We start from the raw sequence: 18,494 nt of genomic DNA, 5'->3' as shown, positions 1-18,494 counted from the left end.
GACCTCTGTATATTAGAGTTTAGCCCAAATTTGATGGGATTTTTTCTTAAGGATCATGATCTGGTTTAAATTATTGGTTTCATTATTTAATTTTATTATTCTCCAAAACCTCTTCTGAGCCCCTTGAGAAGGGGTCAATCCTTAAAACTGGACCTCACTATCTTTATAAAAATGTTTAAAGTTACTAACCTAAGCATTAGAAGAACAAAGTGTTTTGGAATTATGACAGTCTTGACAAAAAGATAGCTTCACAGCCTGATCTCAGCCTTACTTTATAAGGGATGCATTTAAGCCAAGAAGAAAACAATTCTTGATTTTCTTTGTCACTTTGTGTGACAAGGAGGGAAGAGGAGGCTTACAGGCTTTTTCTAGAGTAAGTCAAGAAGCCAGACTCCTCTCCCTCACAAAAATATTTGTTCTATTTCCTTTCATCCTTTTGGTTGTTCAGAAGCCAGTACATCAAGATTAGGCATTAACACCCAAACTATGTGCCATCATACCCCAAAATCCATAATAGAAAATACATTTCACACACCTGAGACCTGGCTGGCAACACTATAAAGAGACTTCATAACTGATAGTTATAGAAGGATTGCAAGAAATAAATATGACGAGAGTCATCTAGAAAACTGGCACAATGTAAAAAAGTCACACAGTTTACAGGAAAAATTTTCTAAGTATGAAGTACATAAAAGGGGAGATTTAGGGCTTTTAAATCATAAATCCTTCCCAGTAGGCAAAAACTATGCTTTTCAATACTCGCTAACACAGACCTGACACCCAAGACCAAGGCAGATCCATTAGCATAATCTTTAGGCCATGAACATAAACTTAAGAGATAATAGCAAGAAAACAGACTCTGCCCAAAACATGTTCTTGAAACTCTGGTCTATGTTTCCACATCTATTACTTACATGACTAGAGCACATAAAAAGTCAGTCAAATGCCATGTTGCTATAAATTATTAACAGCATAAATGAGTTATTTATATTATACTATAAACCTAGCCCTTTAGTATATTATTACAGCTTGCTCTCTACAGAAATGGTTTACATATTTTAACCTGTGTCAAATCACTTGAGAAGTCAGTGTCACTTTTTCTATCAGAAGTGACAGAGATGGTGATCTTCACAAAACAGAAACAAAATCTATTTGCAACATGACAAAAGGCATATCCCAAGTTAACACCAACGTTTCAAAATATGCTGGTGCCCATTTCAATAACTAAGAACTTTGGTAAACATGGTACTAAGTGTGTCAATGGGCAAAGGAAGACTCAAACTTACTCTTCCATGTAAAAGGTTGGACATCACTCATCAAATCTATTACTTACTCTGGAGCTTAATTACAATCTAGCTTGGTGAATACAATTGGATCTATGTAGCTTCCACTGAAAATATTTCAAAAGAATTTGCAAAAAGAGGAATCCAAAACAACAAATCAAAATACCTTCTCACAGTTTTCACTATTTTAATATGATTTTTCTCTAAGCATCTTAATTTTGCAATATTATGTCTTCCCCAAAGTACTCTGTCATTAAGCCTCATCCTTTACATGTCTTGTAGAGATTTATGTATGTATCATTGATTGATACAGGACAAAAATCATTTGCTGGTGGTCCATCAATTCAAAAGGAAATTCTATGACATAGACCAGGAGTCAGCAAAACTATGGCCCACAGGACACATCTAGCTACTCCCATTAGTTTACATATTATGTACAGCTGCTTTTCTCTACAAAGACTGAGTTGAGTTGTCATAAAGACGATACAGCCCACAAAGCTGAAAATATTTACTATCTTAGCATTTATAGAAAAAGTTTGCTGAGCCCTCTGCTATGACTCACAGAAAATCAGAGCTAAAATGAGTCTTAGCATGTAGTTCAGTGGTTCACAAGTCTTGCTTGATACACGCTAGAATCACCTGGAGCACTTTTAAAATTACAAACATCATGCTCAGTCACCCTGCCCCCTACCAAGAGAACTGACTTCACTGGTCTTAGTGGACCCTGAGTAATCTGTGTTTTTGCTTTCTTTTGTTTTGTTTTGTTTGTGATGGAGTCTCACCCTGTCACCAGGCTGGAGTGCAGTGGAGCTATCTCAGCTCCCTGCAACCTCCATCTCCCGGGTTCAATCGATTCTCCTGCCTCAGCCTCCCCAGTAGCTGGGAGGCATGTGCCATCATGCCTGGCTAATTTTTGAATTTTTAGTAGATACAGGGTTTTGCCATGTTGACCAGCTTGGTCTTCAACTCCTATTCTCAAGTGATCCACCTGCCCCAGGCTCTCAAAGTGCTGGGATTACAGGCATGAGCCACCGCACCTGGCTACTCTGTGTTTTTATAAAGATTCTGCATGTGCTACTAGGATGAGAACTTGTGATCTAATCCATTCCTTCATTGCAAAAATGAGATTATCTAAACCCTGGAAGTAAAATGATGGGCACAAAGACCAGTGAATTTTCTAAACTTTTCAACCTTTTTTTTTGTTTGTTTGTTTTTAACATTCTAGCAATCCCTTAGGGTTCTTATTAAACCTCTTCTACTAATTCAAGACTCTAGAACATCATAATGGCATTTTCTTTGTTAGTTCTAGTAACACACTGGTTCAGAGTTCTTTGATCAGCTCTGACAATTGCAGCAGTGAATAACTTAATCAATGGACTCTAGCATTCAGGGACAGTAGCAGAAATGTGATTCCTATAAGGATGTGGAATAATCCCTGCCTACATGCTAATCAAGAGTTGAAATTTTTCATGGGAAAAAGATCCAGAAGAGAGAGATTGTCAAAGCTTGAAGGAACCTTAGAAAACTTCTCATCAAACTGTTTCATTTTACAAATGAGAAAAATAAGACCCTCAAGGAGGCTAGGACTTGCCCAAGGCCACACATGGCAAGGCCAGAGTAGAATGCAGGGCTCTTACCACAGACACTCTACAGGATGAAATGAGAAGAGATGGATGGAAAGAAGTCTTGAGACAGAGGTCATGAGAGGAAAATATACCACAAAAATTTGTGAAAACAGAAAAATAAGGATAGACATGATCAAGAAACCATTAAAAGGAGACCAAAAAAAAAAATTGAAGAAATGACTCCTCCCCTCAGATTCTTACAGCAAAAACTACTTTCAGTACAAGAAAATTAGGCATTAGGAGTAATGCAGAAAAGCCAGGTTCCCCTTTTCTCCACACATCAGGCTTCTTGTTGGTCATGGTACAATCAGTCACTTGATCTTTACTGGAACCCAAAACAAACACAGGCAGTAAAAGGACAAAGGAGAAACCCAGGGAGTTTGTATTGACAGAAAACTCTTCTCAGATTGCATCAATCTTGGAAGAACTTTCTAGAGCCTCACTAACAGAAATCTATCCACAAGCCTTGCAGACTCATTGCCTTCCCTGCTCACCCTGGTGGCTTTCTTATTCTTATGTTATTAGAAACACACAGTTGAACAGGGTAGACAGCTAATGGAAACAAGGATGGTTTATCTGCTGCTTCACTTGGAGAATTAAAGAAACAGAATAATATTCACATGCTCAGAATTAGGCATCAGGAGTAAGGCAGAAAAGCCAGGTTCCCCTTTTCTCTACACATCAGACTTCTTGTTGGTCATTGTACAATCAGTCACTTGATCAACAAAACAAGCAGTAAAAGACAAAAAGTAGTCTTTTAGTTGTGCTCACTATGTGATAGACAGTTGTGAAACAAACTGAATTGTCAATGGCTTCTTTCCAACAATGTGATTATGAGTGTGAGTAATTTATCAATCGCTAGATGGCTTGGTATGGTTCATTTTGAAGCATCACCTTGTCACCCTTTCTAGATCTTATTTATTTAATCTTTATTTTTTCATACAGATAGGAATCTTTAGTGCTTATTTAAGCTACATAATGCTTAAGTAGCTAAGAATAGGAGAAAGACAAGACTTATGTTACTAAAAATGGAAGGCATCTTATGAGTACAAAGAAAATAAACCAGCACATAACTTTGTTTTGGAGGAAAAGATGTAAGATAATTGCTTTAGCAATAACAACTATAAATTCATATAGTATTTGAGGTATGGAGTTTTAAAAAATTAACACTTTTCTTTTCACCCCATCTATAGAATGGTATGAGAAATATAATTGAAATGAATAGAGATAGATAGCCACAATTTATGTTAAAATAAAGAGTGAATTAGTAATAGAAATAAACAATCTTTAAAACATTGAGATATCAATTGAAATAACTGGAAATCCCCTAACATGGGGTGTTCCAATAGGAATTATTAAATTAGATTCTGATAATTTTACTATTTTTTAAATTGCAGGGGTGATTCACAAACTATTAAACTATATTATTCATAAAGTGACAATGTTCAGATGACTTTTTATCCAACCTGCCAAATAGGGCCAGACACATTAGTAAGTAGAATAGAAGCTTTGTCCTGTTTGAATAGTCTCCTGAGACCCTGGGTATATTTTAAGGAGATACTGAACGGAAACTCATGCCTTAAAATGTCAAGCCTACTGAAAGATATTCTATAATTATGTTTTATGAACATATGATGGTGTCAAGATGATAGTTGGATACATCATTTAGAGAGCAGGATAGAGGTCTAAACTAGAGACACAAATTTATGATTCATCAAGAGATGGTTTATTTTCTTTGTGTGTGTGTGTGTGTGTGTGTGTGTGAGACGGAGTCTCCTCTATTGCTCAGGCTGGAGTGCAGTGGCAGGATCTCGGCTCACTGAAACCTCCACCTCCCAGGTTCAAGCGATTCTTGTGCCTCAGCCTCTCAAGTAGCTGGGTGCATGCCACCACGGCCAGGTAATTTTTGTATTTTTAGGAGAGATGGGGTTTCACCACGTTGGCCAGGCTGGTCTCAAACTCCCGACCTCAAGTAATTCGCCTGCCTCGGCCTTCCAAGATTCATCAAGATATGGTTTCTGAAACATGGGTTTAGAAAATAACAGCTAGAGAGTGTCAGTAGAACAGGGCTGAGATATAGCTGATGTTTAGAGATCTGAAAGAGAGAAGGGGCCAGGAAAAGGGACCAAGGAAGAGCCAGAGAGGTAGAAAGAAAATGAAGTGGGAGTAGTGTCATGGAAGCAAGAGAGAAAGTATCACAAGAAGAATAATTTGTCCATGGCATAAATACTGCTGGAGCTGTTAAGGGAGACAAGGAAATTGGCTCTGGCAAGATGTTGATCCTGAGTTATGGGGCTGATGGAAATAAAATGAAGTAGGTTGTGGAAAGAATGGGTTGAGGAGAACAATGAAATGAAAGTGGATTGAGAAAAAAATGGAAGTAGATTGAGGAAAAGATGGAAAGTGGTCCTTTCTCAAATATTTTGCTATATGTAGGTCAAAGAAATGGGGTAGTAGCTGGAGATCAAGGGAAAGTATTTTTATGCTAATGAGAAAGATCCCACAAAGAGGGAGGTATTGCATATTACTTGCTCCTGAATATAGGAGCAAGAACACAGGCAGAAGGTGGTGCATGAGGAGAGGTGCAGTAGGCTGGTACAACTGGTGGAGAGAAATGAGAAAATTCTTCCTGGTTGCATCAATTTTTTTTTTTAGATTTTTAAAAAAAGATATAATAAAGTCACTGGCTGCAGGGGTTGGAATTATTGGAGCACCTGAGAAGGGAGAAGGAAGAAGAAGGTGGGAAAAAGCTATCTTAGGGAATATAATAAGGAATTTCGTAGGAAAATCTAATAAAAAAGGTTGTTGTACAGTTTCGTGTACCAATATTTGAGATATGTGATCATAAACACAATGCAACTTAACGTTAAATGTTATCTAAACATTACCTTTATTAGTTGAGAGCTAAAGAAAGCTAGGCACTTGGGCATAAGCACCAGGTGGAAGGTTAAAAAAAAAAAAAGCCACACTGTCATTTTTATAACTTCAGAATTCTGTTGACATTTGACTCTGTGTTTTTGTCTAAACTAGGCCAGATGGGTAAATAAACTATTCTTTCCAAGTATAAACATTTTTTTCTGAAAGACTAAAAGCATACATCAAACTAAACACCTTGTTTACTCCATTGTAAACTCAACTCTAAACTCAGCTAACAATTCAGTAAGTAAAATGACAACACTGAGTTTTTACTTCAGAAGTCACAAGGACCTTTAGGATTAACATCATATAAACGTAAAATTTGAGGGCATAGTCCTATCTATTTCCTACTCTCAACATATGCTGAGGTGAAAACAAAAAAGTTACTGTATAAGTTTAGCAATGGCATGGGTGACAGCACTATGATGGGAATCATTAACCAGATAAATGCCCATAAACACCCAGGAAAGGCTACTTGTGCTATTTGGCAGGGAAATCACTCACATATTAGCTTTGATATTCAAACAAAAGAATGTGATTTTTTTAAATGTGATCAAATGCAAATATTGATATTTTTCATAGACTGTATTATAACACAATAGGTCCTTGCAAAGATCCTTCAATGCCACAAGATGAAAGGCACGATATCAAAGCACAGGTCACAAAGCCAGGATGCACATGTGAAAAACTAGAGGAATGAAAATACCTTACAGAAACTTTCATGGAGATTGAACACGCAGAGTAGAAATGCACCAAACAGAGGTTTTGACATCAATGTGTAGAGGCTACTATGTAAACCAAGAAAATTAATACAGCAAGGACAAAGGAATTGTACACACCCATGGTGAAAAGATATTTTTAGGTAAAGAAACATGTAAGTGCATGAGGAGCTTAAATGTAAAGTCAAAGTTGTAGAAAGTTGGGCAAAGAATTAAATAGATGTAAGCACAATATTTATTTAATATTCTCCTGCTGTTTCCCAACAGAAACATTTCTATACATTTATGAGACCCAACTCCAAAAGCATACTGGAATGGAATTAAAGACCGAACTACAGAAGCTAAAGAGAGCTGATCAAACTAAAAAAAAAAGTTAAAGGTAAAGAAACCAACTTTAGTATAAATCATGTTCCAATTAAATTACAGCTCAATGGGTTATGAAAATGCTTAAAGAAAATAAGAAGACACATGAACCAGAAGAGAGCATTAAAAGGGTTTTCTTTTTCCTGGAGATATTTTTTATAATGATGTTTGTTCTGACAGGAGTTGATCATACAAATTTTATAGCTGAATAAATGTGTGTGGTTTGGGAACATGAACACTGTCTCAGAGAACAAGGAAAGAAACTTAAGCAAAAAGTATAATTTTAAAAAGAGTATAATAATAGTGTTGCACAGTCATTCCTAACTTGGGTTTCTAAACCATCTACAAAAGCAGTGGTGAATGAATAATTTTAAATACAGTAGTACAAAAATACTTTAAAAATTCAATGATGAAGCTATCCAGACCAACCATATAGTCTGATTGAAAAATATGCATTTGATTTTTTAAACAAAAATGAGTAAATGTGCATCATTTCCTTTAATTTCTCAGTCCCGCTGCAATGGGATTTGTGCCCCTGATATGGTATTAGCACATAAGCATTACTATAATATTAATGGCTCTGCATTCTAGAAAACCAAAACAAGAGAAATAACACAACTAAAATGTGGTCTTTGTACACACTAATAAAGTATACAAATGTGTGGCAATATTTATCAAGCAGAAAGACAGAAGGCAATGATAAACACTTTAGGAATAAGAAAGGTGCTATCACTAAATAATGTGAAAAAAATTTAAATAATAGTATGAAAATGTTATGCTGCTAAATTTGAGAACCCAATATAAGGAAGGAGTTCTTAATCAAGATACCAAAAGCACAAAACATAAAGGAAAAGACAATAAATTGAACTTTATTAAACTTAAAAGCTTCTTTTCATCAAAAGACTCTATAAGCCAAGCCACTGACTGAGGGATTATGTTTGAAATGTATAGAGCTGATGATCAATCCATAATTCATAAATTCCTACAATTTAATTAAGGAAGAAAAAACTAGGTGACAAATGAGTAATCAACATGAATAAGAAATTAATGTAAGAGAACAGCAAAAGCCAATAATTATGTATGCAGCTTCCCTATATTTTTAGTAATCACTTCACATCTACCAGACACCAAGTGTTGTTGAAGATACATAGCTATGAGAATTCTTGTACTCTCTTGATGGGGATATATATCAGTACAACAGACTTGAGGACAATTTGGCACCACTCAGTTAAGCATGGGTGAATCCTATGACCCAGCAATACAACCCCTAGGTATTTCTCCTAGAAAATCCTGAATAAGGAAACAGGTGAAAGAATGCTCACTGCAGTATTAGATCTTCATAGTGGCTATCTATGAGAAGGAAAGAAGAGATAAGGATTTAATGACAGATACACAGTGACCCTCAATTTATCTGTAATGTTTTATTTCTTAAGCTCAATATACGGTATATAGTTCTTCCTCATGCTATTACTCATACTTTGTTACTTGTCTGAATTTTTTTCATAAAAGTTAAAAAGATGATAAGACTTACCAAGCTATCCACATCTATGCTGGAGTTTACAGCCCACTGCAATGTACTCATGATATTCATGGCTAAAGTCAGGATAATACCAACTCTTCCTTCTCCTTCTCCTATAGATGCACAAAAGACGTAAATGAACCTCATGTTATTTCTCTCTTCTGTGAACGACTTTATTCACACTTCTCCTAGGGCACATATCACATTAAATTTACATTTCAATTTTATGCTAATTTTAACAATTTTTAAATCTCAGTTCATCACAGCATCTACTAATAGAATAATGCTCTGCATATAGTAAGTATTCAACCAGGATTTTAAATCAAAGAGCGATTGAATATTAGGAAAGTGTTGCCCTTTTTAAAAAATGTTACTGGTATTGGAGGTGTTGTTGGTAATGGGTAGGTACCATATTTGTCTCTTCTACTATTATTCTATAAGTAATAACGGTAACATATATTAGAATGGGCAATGGGGAAAAGAGATCCTGTATCCAGATGAGCTGCTTTACAAAGAGACCAAAAGCAGGGGAAGAGTGTCCAAACAGCATCTGCAAGATGTTTAGGTGTGTTCTGTGCCTTTGCAAGGAGGACCTTTGCTAATTGCATGCTATTGGGAAGTAAGTGGACTTAGAATTTCACCGGACAGTCAGAAAACTAACAGTTCTGCCATTTGGAAAGAGAAAAGATTACCCTCTATGCAAAAAAAAAAAAAAAAAAAAAAAAAGATTACTGTACCTGGGAAGAACAACACTTAAGTGTTAAATTACAGTAATTTTTTTTTTAGGGCTAAAGAGGACAGCTAATTAAAATTCATGTGTTCAGTATTATGGCCATAGAAATTCTCTAAGAGGAATGTTCTTAAATTATTATAAAGTTAGACTATCAAGTCCCAATCAAGAGTTCTTACATCTGTAATGCATGATAAAATTGTCAAAAGATTCTACAATTGGGAGAAATAATTCATCTTATTATTAATTGAAATTTTTGTTTCTGCAATTCCTCTAACAGAAGGCATAATATACACAGCATATATCTGCATGTAGTATTAAATTATTTTCATATAGGCAAGATTTATCTAGACCCCAATATATTACTGTTCTGAAGGTTAAGCTGAGAAGATAAAATTTTAATAATAAGTCAGATAACATTTATTTAGTATTTACCATGGACCAGGCACTATACTAAGTGTTTTGGACAAATTATTACATTTACTATTCACCCCACACCTATGGAATAGGTAATATTATTGTGTCTATTTACACTTGAGGAAAATGAGGGGCTTAGATAGTTAATTAATGTTTGCAAGTTAACACAGCTGAAGACCAATTGAGCCAGGGATAATAATAGCTGGGTGGCCAACATCCACTCCGGCTGAGCATCTGATTTGATTGGTAAGTTCTGTACTATAATGATTGTTAAATGTTTTGATTATTGCCCCTAATAAATCAAGACTCAATCACACTCAACCATGTTATAGCATGTGTTATATTGGTTTGAATTAATTGTTAACAAATCTTCATTTATGTAATTCAGCCTTCTTTGATCTTATTTTCAAATAACTTAAAAGAATTTTTTAAAGTTGCTTAAAATTACAGTACTGATGAGGATTAGTACATTTGCCTGCCCATGTATATTCCTTTCATAGAGTCATTTCCCACTGCCCTAGCTGAGAGAACAACAAAGGTGGTGAACCCACTATCCTCATAGCAGCAGAGTAGACTGCAGTTGGACCCCTGAGCCAAAAGGAAGCTGTTTTCTGTTCTCTCCAGGACTTTGAGTTTGTACAGAGGAACTCTCCTGTAAATTCAGGAGGCCAGAATGGAGACACTACATAAAGTCAATGTGGCATAGCCCTGGTAGACCAGAAAAACCAGTCTTCAGAGAGAGAAAGGAATGAAGCAACCACAAAAAGGAATGGACCCAGGACAGATATAGACTCAAGAAGAAGAGCTGCAGCTGACTCTCTTGTGCCTGTTGCAGCTTCTTTAAGAGTCGAATGGCACCACCTTCTCGGTGTTCCATGAGGCCTTTCTGTAACTCCAGCAAATGCCTGCTTTCGGTTTGAGTAGAATTCTGTTCCTACAATCAAATGATCCTACAGATTTGGCATTGATTTGGCATTTGCTCTGCCAGTATTCACTGTCACATATAAGAAGTTATTTCAACACTTATCATAAATACTCAGAAATTCAAATTCTTAAATTAGAGAAACAAATTTACCTACATAGATTTTTATTTTACTTATTATGAAATACTTTGTTTTTCACTAAAGATCCTAAAATCAATCCAGAACATTTGTATTTGAAAAACATGGCACTTTCTTTTCTTCTTTTTCTTTTGAAAAATGTGACACTGTCTTTCTTTTCTGTGACAGTTTTTCTTTGTGTAAAACTCACAATTAGATAACAAATTTTATCTAGTAGAGATTTAAAAAAAACAAAACTTACCGACAAGAGGAACTCTGTGTGTGTGTGTGTGTGTGTGTGTGTAAATGCGGATGTTTCATTTCCCCTCTTTAGGAATCTATTAATTTTGAAGCTAGGACCCTTCACCAATATGAGTATGAAGAGGTGACATATTTCCCCTTCAATCACAGAATTGCTATCTGACAATCTGTGTGCATCGGTTTTTAAAACTGTGAAAACAGGGATAATACTATATATATATATGTATATATATATATATATATATATATATATACATATATATATATATATCCGATTTCAAGGAAATTATTTGTTTAACAATAAAACAATGGAAATTCAAAGAAATCACTTGTTCAATAATAAACCAACAAATTTGTTAATTACTAAACTCTAAAGATATCAAAAATTGATAACCTATAGAATGCAGCATTTTATTCATTGAAAATTTTTTACTTAAATGCTTAGCTAAAGTTAATGAGTTCATAGTACCTGTTGTTAAAATGGAAATGAAGGTAACAGCAATGAAGAAGATGACAAAAATCATTTCTATTCTCATTTGGAACCAGCGCAGTGTTGACAGGTACAAGAACCAGTTGGCAGTATGTAAATTCAGAGCTTTGTGGAACAGAGTTTCAAAGTAAGGCTGCCGTCCGAAGGCACGAAGTGTCCATAGTCCTTTTAAGCTTGTAACAAGATGAGTGAAAATTGGACTCCTGCCTGTGAAATATTTCCATAGAAAACATTGCAAATAACATAAACACAAAATGTAATTTCATAATATCTTGTACCTGAAAAAGACTAAATTAGAATAATCATATCACAAATGTCATTGGTTAAAAAGCTTTTTTTCACACTGGTGCCATTCTTTGAATAGATATGATTTGTTATTTTATTAATGAGTTACCCTCTTTTTTTACTTGGCTACCAGAGATGGGAACTTAAAAAATTACCACCAATATTTATTCCTCTTTCTTGGCTACCACTGGGAGTTTTCTGGCTAATTCTAAATTAATTCTTACTAAAAAAATTTTCTTTTAAGACAATTTTTTCAAGTATCTAAATTAAGGAAGTTTATGTGACTTGATTTAGCTAATAATCTACAAAGCAGAAATATACTGAAAAAGTATTGCCTGAAAATGCACCCACACTAAGGCTGTCACTGCAAAATGTGATTCCCTAACAGCTCAAGTAGAGTTTGGGGGCACACGAAATGGCAGCTCCAACACATGAAGAAAGGGTGTCTGAAGACAACAAGCCAAAGGGACAAATTTGGTCAAGTATCATTTGGGAACCCAGAGAAACCTTTAGTAATAGCAGCACTATCCTTGTTTAATTTGACTGATATAAGTTTATTATAAATGAATGTCCTGTACACCAACTGTGGTAAGATTCTATATACCTATTTTAAAACCAAAATGAAGTCACATGGTCATTAATTAAGAAAAAAAATCCATGTGTACTTTGTAATATAGTTTCCTTTTATATACACATGCATGTAGAAAAAAATTATTGTTATATGATGTAAAAGTTTAAAAGCAGAATTTTTTTTAAGTAGATTAACAATAAAGAATCTCAAATAGCTCTTATAGCTTTTTTACAAGATGAGTATCGCACATTCACTGTCATACCTTCAGATTCCAGTTGTTTGAGTTGCTGTGAGGTTTGGAGGAAATATGCTCTCAACATAATAAAAGCCACTATCACTGGCACTGTTGCAACAAAGATGTAGGGTTGTAAAACTGCGACAACTGCTATAGCTCCAATCACAATTAATAACAACTGTAAGATCAAAGAAAACATGTTGGTGAGTAAACATTTTCACATTGCAAAGTGGACAAAGTGTGTCAGTGATTTATTTCTTTTTTTTTTTTTGCATACTTTAAACACCTCAAACTTTTTTTTATTTTTTTTATTATACTTTAAGTTTTAGGGTACATGTGCACATTGTGCAGGTTAGTTACATATGTATACATGTGCCATGCTGGTGCACTGCACCCACTAACTCGTCATCTAGCATTAGGTATATCTCCCAGTGCTATCCCTCCCCCCTCCCCCCACCCCACAACAGTCCCCAGAGTGTGATATTCCCCTTCCTGTGTCCATGTGATCTCATTGTTCAATTCCCACCTATGAGTGAGAATATGCGGTGTTTGGTTTTTTGTTCTTGCGATAGTTTACTGAGAATGATGTTTTCCAATTTCATCCATGTCCCTACAAAGGACATGAACTCATCATTTTTTATGGCTGCATAGTGTTCCATGGTGTATATGTGCCACATTTTCTTAATCCAGTCTATCATTGTTGGACTAAATACTCTCCCCATTCTATTCCTAGTCAGAAAGTAGCCATTTGCAAGTACATTTTTCATAGGCTCTATGAAAATTTTAAAAATTGTTTAGGTCACTGATAACATTTTTGAAGTTTGAAAACATGGTGTTCTTTGATCTTTGGATATTTTCATTTCCCAGACACTTTAAAGTATTGCATGATAAATACATTTTAAGTGAATATTAATTTAAAATAAACTATTTTTAAATAATTTTAGTATGAAGGTGAATCTTAGGATTTATTTTGGTTAGACAGTTTTTGAAAGCTGGGCATTCGTCTTGGAGTCTTTTGATTCAGAAAGTTCTGCTTGAAATACAAGCTTGTCATTTAGGCAAGCTATCTAACCTTTCGGAGCATATTTTCTCATGCTTAACATTGAAATAAATCATACTTAATAAATTTCTATATTTCTACATTACACCAAATACATACATTTTTAAAAGGTACAAAGTCCGCTAACATGTACTTCACAATAATCCATTTGAATAAAGTATAAAGTAACTGTCTGCAGAAAGGATTAAAAAAAACCACTTTATAATATCCATATGCTGTTCAGTGAGCCAGTTCTCTACCCGTTACCATAAGTGACACATGTATTTTCAACTGATATAACTTTAGAACTGAAAGGGACCATTATCAGGTTTATATTCCCCATTCTACAAGTGACAAATCTGAGACCCTTCAAGATAAGTGTCTGCTCAAGGTAAAATAGTGGGAATCTGTAGAAAATAACCAAGATTTTCAATTTTCACTATACAGTGCTCCAATCCGGAAAGCAAATTTGTCAGAACATTGTCAAAGTTAGAAAATAGAATGAAGATTACATGAGGTATCAAAATACTCAAACTCAAAGAAGCAAAGAACAGAACCATGGGTAACAGGACAGGGGAGAGAGGGAAATGGGGAGATACTAATCAACAGGTATAAAATTTCAGTAGTGCAAAATGAATAAGTTCCAGAGATCTGCTGTGCAACATTTACCCATGGTGAACAATATTGTATTTTACACATAAAAATCTGTTAAGAGGGTAAATCTCATGTTAAGTGGACTTGCCACAATAAAATTCAAATTTTAAAAAGAGAAAAATAATAGAAAATAGAGTGAACAGAGACTTTTTTTTAAAAAAAGAAAATTTATAGGTATGCTTTATTTTGTGCAACAGATCTGCTTCTGAAATATCATGAATAGAATGAAATTTCATTTGTTTGAAATTAAGTATAACCAGAGGTAAAACATAAGTATAACCAGAGGAGCTCACAATTTGAAGGACCCCTGTGATTAATTATTTAACAAAATCAAAATTAACCAAATTTGTACTGTATTTGGATTGTCATATATTATGCTTCCTTAATATGAGACTCTCTTACAAATAAAATGGGTAAATTAATATAAAAGACCTCTGCCTAATCACTTGTGAAACAACAACAAATGAATCTTAGCATTAAAAGTTGAACAGGGCCTGGTGCAGTGGCTCACACCTATAATTCCAGCTCTTTAAGAGGCTGAGGCAGGTGGATCACTTGAGGTCAGGAGTTCAGGAGTTCAAGACCAGCCTGGCCAACGTGGTGAAACCCCATCTCTAGTAATAATACAAAAATTATCCAGGCATGGTGGTGCGCGCCTGTAATCCCAGCTACTCTGGAGGCTGATGCGAGAGAATCGCTTGAACCGAGGAGGTGGAGGTTGCAGTCAGCCAAGATTGCATCACTGCACTCCAGCCTGGGCAACAGAGTGAGACTCCATCCCAATTAAAAAAAAAAATTGAGCAGAAATGATTCAAACTGGCATAAAAGAAAAAATTTGAGAGCCATCACATATGTCAAAAATGTTAATTTATAAAATGACTATTTAAAAATTAACCCTTCCAGAGGAGTTCTGAAGTGAGCCTCAAATAATTATCAAGAGGCACCATTGGCAAATACTTTCACAATCAAGTTAAGAGGTTCACATTCCAGTTTTTATCTGATGTAATAATATTATATTTGGGACCAGTTATTTACACTCTTAACATGAAAAACAAATGTCAGCATTTAGTGACTCAGGACATGTTTCTTTGAATGCATGAATTCAACGCATGGATTTAAATATTCCATCAGCTGCTTCTAAGTTATATCTTTAAACAGAACAACTGAAGGATATCCAAAATGCCAAAGTTCACTTGGGACAGTAAATATATTTGTTTGTGTCAATCATTTCAGATGAGGCAAACTGACAGTCTGGTTTTTCTGCACCTGCCAATGTTGGTTATATATACATACTTATGTGATAATCCTTCTTTTGTTTTATATGTTCAATCAAATACAGTATTATTATTTTGCAGGGGTAGGGAAAGAGCAAGAGCGGACAATGACTCATCCCAACATGGGCAACATCCTATTCCAACTGTTTCTCCAAGGAGATCACTGAGACTGTGGCATTTGCTCTCTGGAGCTTGACCTAAACCAGTCAGGAAGCTCAGGAAGCTGTGCTTAAACCTGGTCCAACAACCACAGCTTACAACACTCCTTAAATCCTGTCACTTATGGAGACCTAATGTCCCAAGGTCACTTTCACCTCCTCCACTCCCCTTTTCTTCTCCATCCTCACCACCAATCAGTCACCCCAACCCAAAGAGTCAGCCTCTGAGCCAGCCTGCCCTGGAGGCCTATTCACATCTATCACTCAGGGACAGCCCTCATAAAACCCTAGATTTTTTCTTTCCCCTCTCTTTTGTTCTAAAACTTATCTTTGCTTCTGTCCCTTCCTTATGGTCCTTACTGTGGGGGAATGGGCTAGCTAATCTGTGCCAAAGTGTTCATGGGTGAGGCTAGTTTCAAGTGTAACCCACCCAGGGAATCCATCTTCATTCTAATACAGGCCTTTTGGGGGGAGGTTGGCTTCCATCAAATAGTGATGCCAATGCCAAAATGTCACACTTTGTGGCCAGTGATTTTGGGAAAGATGGTCCTTTGTGCCTCTCAAATCACTCCCAAGTAGACAGCTATTACATCTAAATGTGGGATTGCCTCAGGTTTGGGCCAGGTAAGCAGTTCTGACTTATTATTGAATTTACTAAACTTATGTCTATTTTGAAGGCTTTGGATAATTACAAAATTAATGCAATAGACAGGACTTCAACCCTCAATCAAATAAAAAATGAAAACAAAATCACATTTGCTTTTGTTATTGTTTTTTTAATAATACAGACATACTTAACGGTACTTATTTTTACATACCTGGATGAAGTCAAATATGGTAAGAGGCAGAAGGTCATCCAAAATTGCTATATCTTTGGAGAATCTATTAAGAATCCCACCTATAATATACAAGATGACAAATTCCTCAAAAAACACTAATTTTTTAAAGATATATCAATATATTCAATACTAAGTTTGGATCACAGTAGACGCATTCAGAACCCAAATAAGAATTAGCAAATAGAATCAGATAGACTTAGAAATTTTTGTTTCTTTCCAAACATTCTAAATAATTATGTGTTCAAGTTATTGTCTTTTACTTTTAAACCTTTTTAAAAGTTTCAGATTCTTGTAAGATTCAAGTAACGACCAATTTCTCTGAAATAGCTTTTACTATAAATTATGTCAGGAATAGGTGGGTACTCATCCTGCTTTACAATCTTACTTTTGCAACCTTGCATTTAATGACAACTTACTGTTGTCATCATTTCCCTTCCATTTGTATTCTATAACATAGGGGTCTCCTTCTCCTCTGACTTCCATACCTTTTTGACATACCTCTACCGAAACCCTGGCTGCTCTCTCTCCCTGCCTGCCCCACTGTCTTGTCCTCCTTTGTCATACTCTCTTTCTGCCCTCTTCGCAGACAATCTACATTTCAACCTGTCATCTGAATCACGGATTCACATTTGTAAGGTTGACAACTTGTTGCTTCAATTAAAAAAGGTTATATACAAGTGTCCACTTTGTACCAGGCACAATGCTAGGCACTGAAATTACTGAGGTGAATAAGCCATGCTCCTTGCCCTTGAGGAATTCATTGTCTAGACAGGAATTAAACAAACAATTAGATAAAATGTAACATAATACTGTACAAATAAAGTGATATTGAATCTTATCATTTACCCCCCATAAACTGCAGGATAAAGTCCAAAATTCCTAGTTTAATATTTAATGCCTTGCATAATTTGGCCTCAACCCACCTACCTAGTACAAGCTTCCTCTGCTCAAATATCCTGTTTCAGCCAAACTGGTCTATTCTTTAAACACACTCTACACTTTCCTACCTCCCTGCTTTCCACATGCGGTTCCCTCCACCTGAAACCCCTTTCCCCTCAGCTCTCATTGTCAAAATCTATGTTTCCTCCCTTTCTCAACTCAAATGCCCCTGCTGCAAGAAAGCATCAGTGTTTCCTCCAGCTGGGATTAATCTCTTCCTCCTCTGGACATACTTGATACATCTTGTTTGCACCTCTGTTATAATGACTATATGCATGTCTTATATCACAGGAACTTATAAACATATCATAACTCTTTTTCTAGGTTATAAATTGCTAGAGGTCAGTGGGTTCATGCCACATTTATTTTGTATCACCCATACCCCAAGCAAAAAGGCCTTATATGTAGGAATTATTTAATACATATTTATTAATACATTCTTTAGCATATTTAATTAAACATATTTGTATATTTTCATGATAATCAAAAATTGAAAAAATAGCCATTGATATTTATAAACAGTGTTTAGAAAATGAAATTTGCTTTGGTGGAAAGAAAAAACCATCCTGGTGCTTATTATATTTCAAATGGTTTGGAACCAACTATGAACAGCGTTAAAGGGAATGAGGAGCTTGGAAAAGAAGAAGTGGAATGGCCAGTGCACCCTCTGTGGGAACAAAACCCCACAGAAGGGAACCACGGGGAACTTATATTGATTTCCCATTGGCTATGTAGCAGGCAAGTAAATTGCCTTGTTTCATTCTCACAAAGATCTTCTGAAATATTCTTTTCTTCACTTAACAGGTGAGGAGGCCAAGGCTCAGAAGAGTCACTTGCCCATGATCACTGCTCTTATAGCGCCAACTCAGAGCTCAGGCAATGCTCATGTTCTTTCCACTGTGCCTCATCGCTCATGTCTGACTCTTCTAGAAATGTGGGCAAATCCCCTGCCTTCTGTGGGTCTCAGATTTCCATAAAAAATAAAATCAATGGATCAACTTAATTAGACATCTTGAGTCTAAAATTCTTAGCTCCAAAACAGAGGATGGTGATGAGTATATGCAAATGCGGCAATATTTCAGCAACACACATGGGCTTCAGAATAAATATCAAGATCTTCCTACATGTTAATAACAC

General features: G+C 35.6%; 1 protein-coding gene and 1 long non-coding RNA gene across 2 annotated transcripts in view, besides 17 other annotated features; one reads left to right on the top strand and one right to left on the bottom strand.

The window, feature by feature from the left end:
* The window catches only part of CFTR-AS2 (CFTR antisense RNA 2), a 42,625-nt gene extending 24,265 nt beyond the window's left edge, over positions 1-18,360 (top strand). The window contains exons 2-3 of the long non-coding RNA NR_199597.1: positions 6,811-6,922; positions 18,162-18,360. This is a non-coding gene — a long non-coding RNA (CFTR antisense RNA 2). The remainder of the gene's footprint in view (positions 1-6,810; positions 6,923-18,161) is intronic.
* Positions 1-18,494, bottom strand: part of CFTR (CF transmembrane conductance regulator) — a 188,641-nt gene that overhangs the window by 45,515 nt on the left and 124,632 nt on the right. The window contains exons 18-21 of the mRNA NM_000492.4: positions 16,398-16,477; positions 12,482-12,632; positions 11,343-11,570; positions 8,438-8,538 (exon numbers count right to left, since the gene is read on the bottom strand). Coding sequence (NP_000483.3) covers positions 8,438-8,538; positions 11,343-11,570; positions 12,482-12,632; positions 16,398-16,477 — 560 coding nt within the window. The remainder of the gene's footprint in view (positions 1-8,437; positions 8,539-11,342; positions 11,571-12,481; positions 12,633-16,397; positions 16,478-18,494) is intronic.
* Positions 909-3,453: a DNaseI hypersensitive site, noted in NCBI's record as "DHS18. or 3600 + 7 kb or 3600 + 6.8 kb DHS observed in multiple cell types; the nucleotide coordinates are approximate for this feature". NCBI's record gives the evidence for it as "EXISTENCE:in vivo cleavage assay evidence [ECO:0001075][PMID:10708521, PMID:11856314]".
* Positions 2,964-3,453: a conserved region, noted in NCBI's record as "conserved_region; intron 18 3600 + 6.8 kb region conserved in human, cow and pig". NCBI's record gives the evidence for it as "COORDINATES:sequence alignment evidence [ECO:0000200][PMID:12782133]".
* Positions 6,056-7,056: a DNaseI hypersensitive site, noted in NCBI's record as "DHS18a or 3600 + 1.6 kb DHS observed in HT29 colon adenocarcinoma cells; the nucleotide coordinates are approximate for this feature". NCBI's record gives the evidence for it as "EXISTENCE:in vivo cleavage assay evidence [ECO:0001075][PMID:19897727]".
* Positions 10,501-15,251: a silencer, noted in NCBI's record as "E4.5 fragment used in the pGL3B-245/E4.5 reporter construct". NCBI's record gives its function as "modestly represses a basal CFTR promoter in transfected MCF-7 cells" and the evidence as "EXISTENCE:reporter gene assay evidence [ECO:0000049][PMID:11856314]".
* Positions 10,501-16,104: a biological region, named in NCBI's record as "DNase I hypersensitive sites in introns 16 and 17a of CFTR". NCBI's record gives its function as "regulatory_interactions: CFTR".
* Positions 11,471-12,471: a DNaseI hypersensitive site, noted in NCBI's record as "DHS17a or 3271 + 0.7 kb DHS; the nucleotide coordinates are approximate for this feature". NCBI's record gives the evidence for it as "EXISTENCE:in vivo cleavage assay evidence [ECO:0001075][PMID:10708521]".
* Positions 11,732-11,763: a protein binding site, noted in NCBI's record as "17a-FP3 or 17aFP3FAC1 HNF1-binding probe". NCBI's record gives the evidence for it as "EXISTENCE:protein binding evidence [ECO:0000024][PMID:14656222, PMID:14656222]".
* Positions 11,935-11,961: a protein binding site, noted in NCBI's record as "17a-FP2 HNF1-binding probe". NCBI's record gives the evidence for it as "EXISTENCE:protein binding evidence [ECO:0000024][PMID:14656222]".
* Positions 12,103-12,141: a protein binding site, noted in NCBI's record as "CArG box 10 SRF-binding probe". NCBI's record gives the evidence for it as "EXISTENCE:protein binding evidence [ECO:0000024][PMID:16170155]".
* Positions 12,190-12,221: a protein binding site, noted in NCBI's record as "17aFP6CDX2 HNF1-binding probe". NCBI's record gives the evidence for it as "EXISTENCE:protein binding evidence [ECO:0000024][PMID:19782160]".
* Positions 12,190-12,221: a protein binding site, noted in NCBI's record as "17aFP6CDX2 CDX2-binding probe". NCBI's record gives the evidence for it as "EXISTENCE:protein binding evidence [ECO:0000024][PMID:19782160]".
* Positions 12,275-12,298: a protein binding site, noted in NCBI's record as "17aFP8HNF1 HNF1-binding probe". NCBI's record gives the evidence for it as "EXISTENCE:protein binding evidence [ECO:0000024][PMID:19782160]".
* Positions 12,998-13,998: a DNaseI hypersensitive site, noted in NCBI's record as "DHS16 or 3120 + 3 kb DHS; the nucleotide coordinates are approximate for this feature". NCBI's record gives the evidence for it as "EXISTENCE:in vivo cleavage assay evidence [ECO:0001075][PMID:10708521]".
* Positions 13,385-13,413: a protein binding site, noted in NCBI's record as "16FP2CDX2 CDX2-binding probe". NCBI's record gives the evidence for it as "EXISTENCE:protein binding evidence [ECO:0000024][PMID:19782160]".
* Positions 14,926-16,104: a conserved region, noted in NCBI's record as "conserved_region; 16hom ROH (region of cross-species homology)". NCBI's record gives the evidence for it as "EXISTENCE:sequence alignment evidence [ECO:0000200][PMID:12782133, PMID:19782160]".
* Positions 15,006-15,049: a protein binding site, noted in NCBI's record as "16homFP15HNF1 probe containing two HNF1-binding sites". NCBI's record gives the evidence for it as "EXISTENCE:protein binding evidence [ECO:0000024][PMID:19782160]".
* Positions 15,825-15,852: a protein binding site, noted in NCBI's record as "16homFP1PBX1 PBX1-binding probe". NCBI's record gives the evidence for it as "EXISTENCE:protein binding evidence [ECO:0000024][PMID:19782160]".

Source organism: Homo sapiens, chromosome 7 (assembly GCF_000001405.40).
Source record: "Homo sapiens chromosome 7, GRCh38.p14 Primary Assembly".
Taxonomy (NCBI): Eukaryota; Metazoa; Chordata; class Mammalia; order Primates; family Hominidae; genus Homo; species Homo sapiens.
This window is presented reverse-complemented; position numbering and strand designations above follow the sequence as displayed.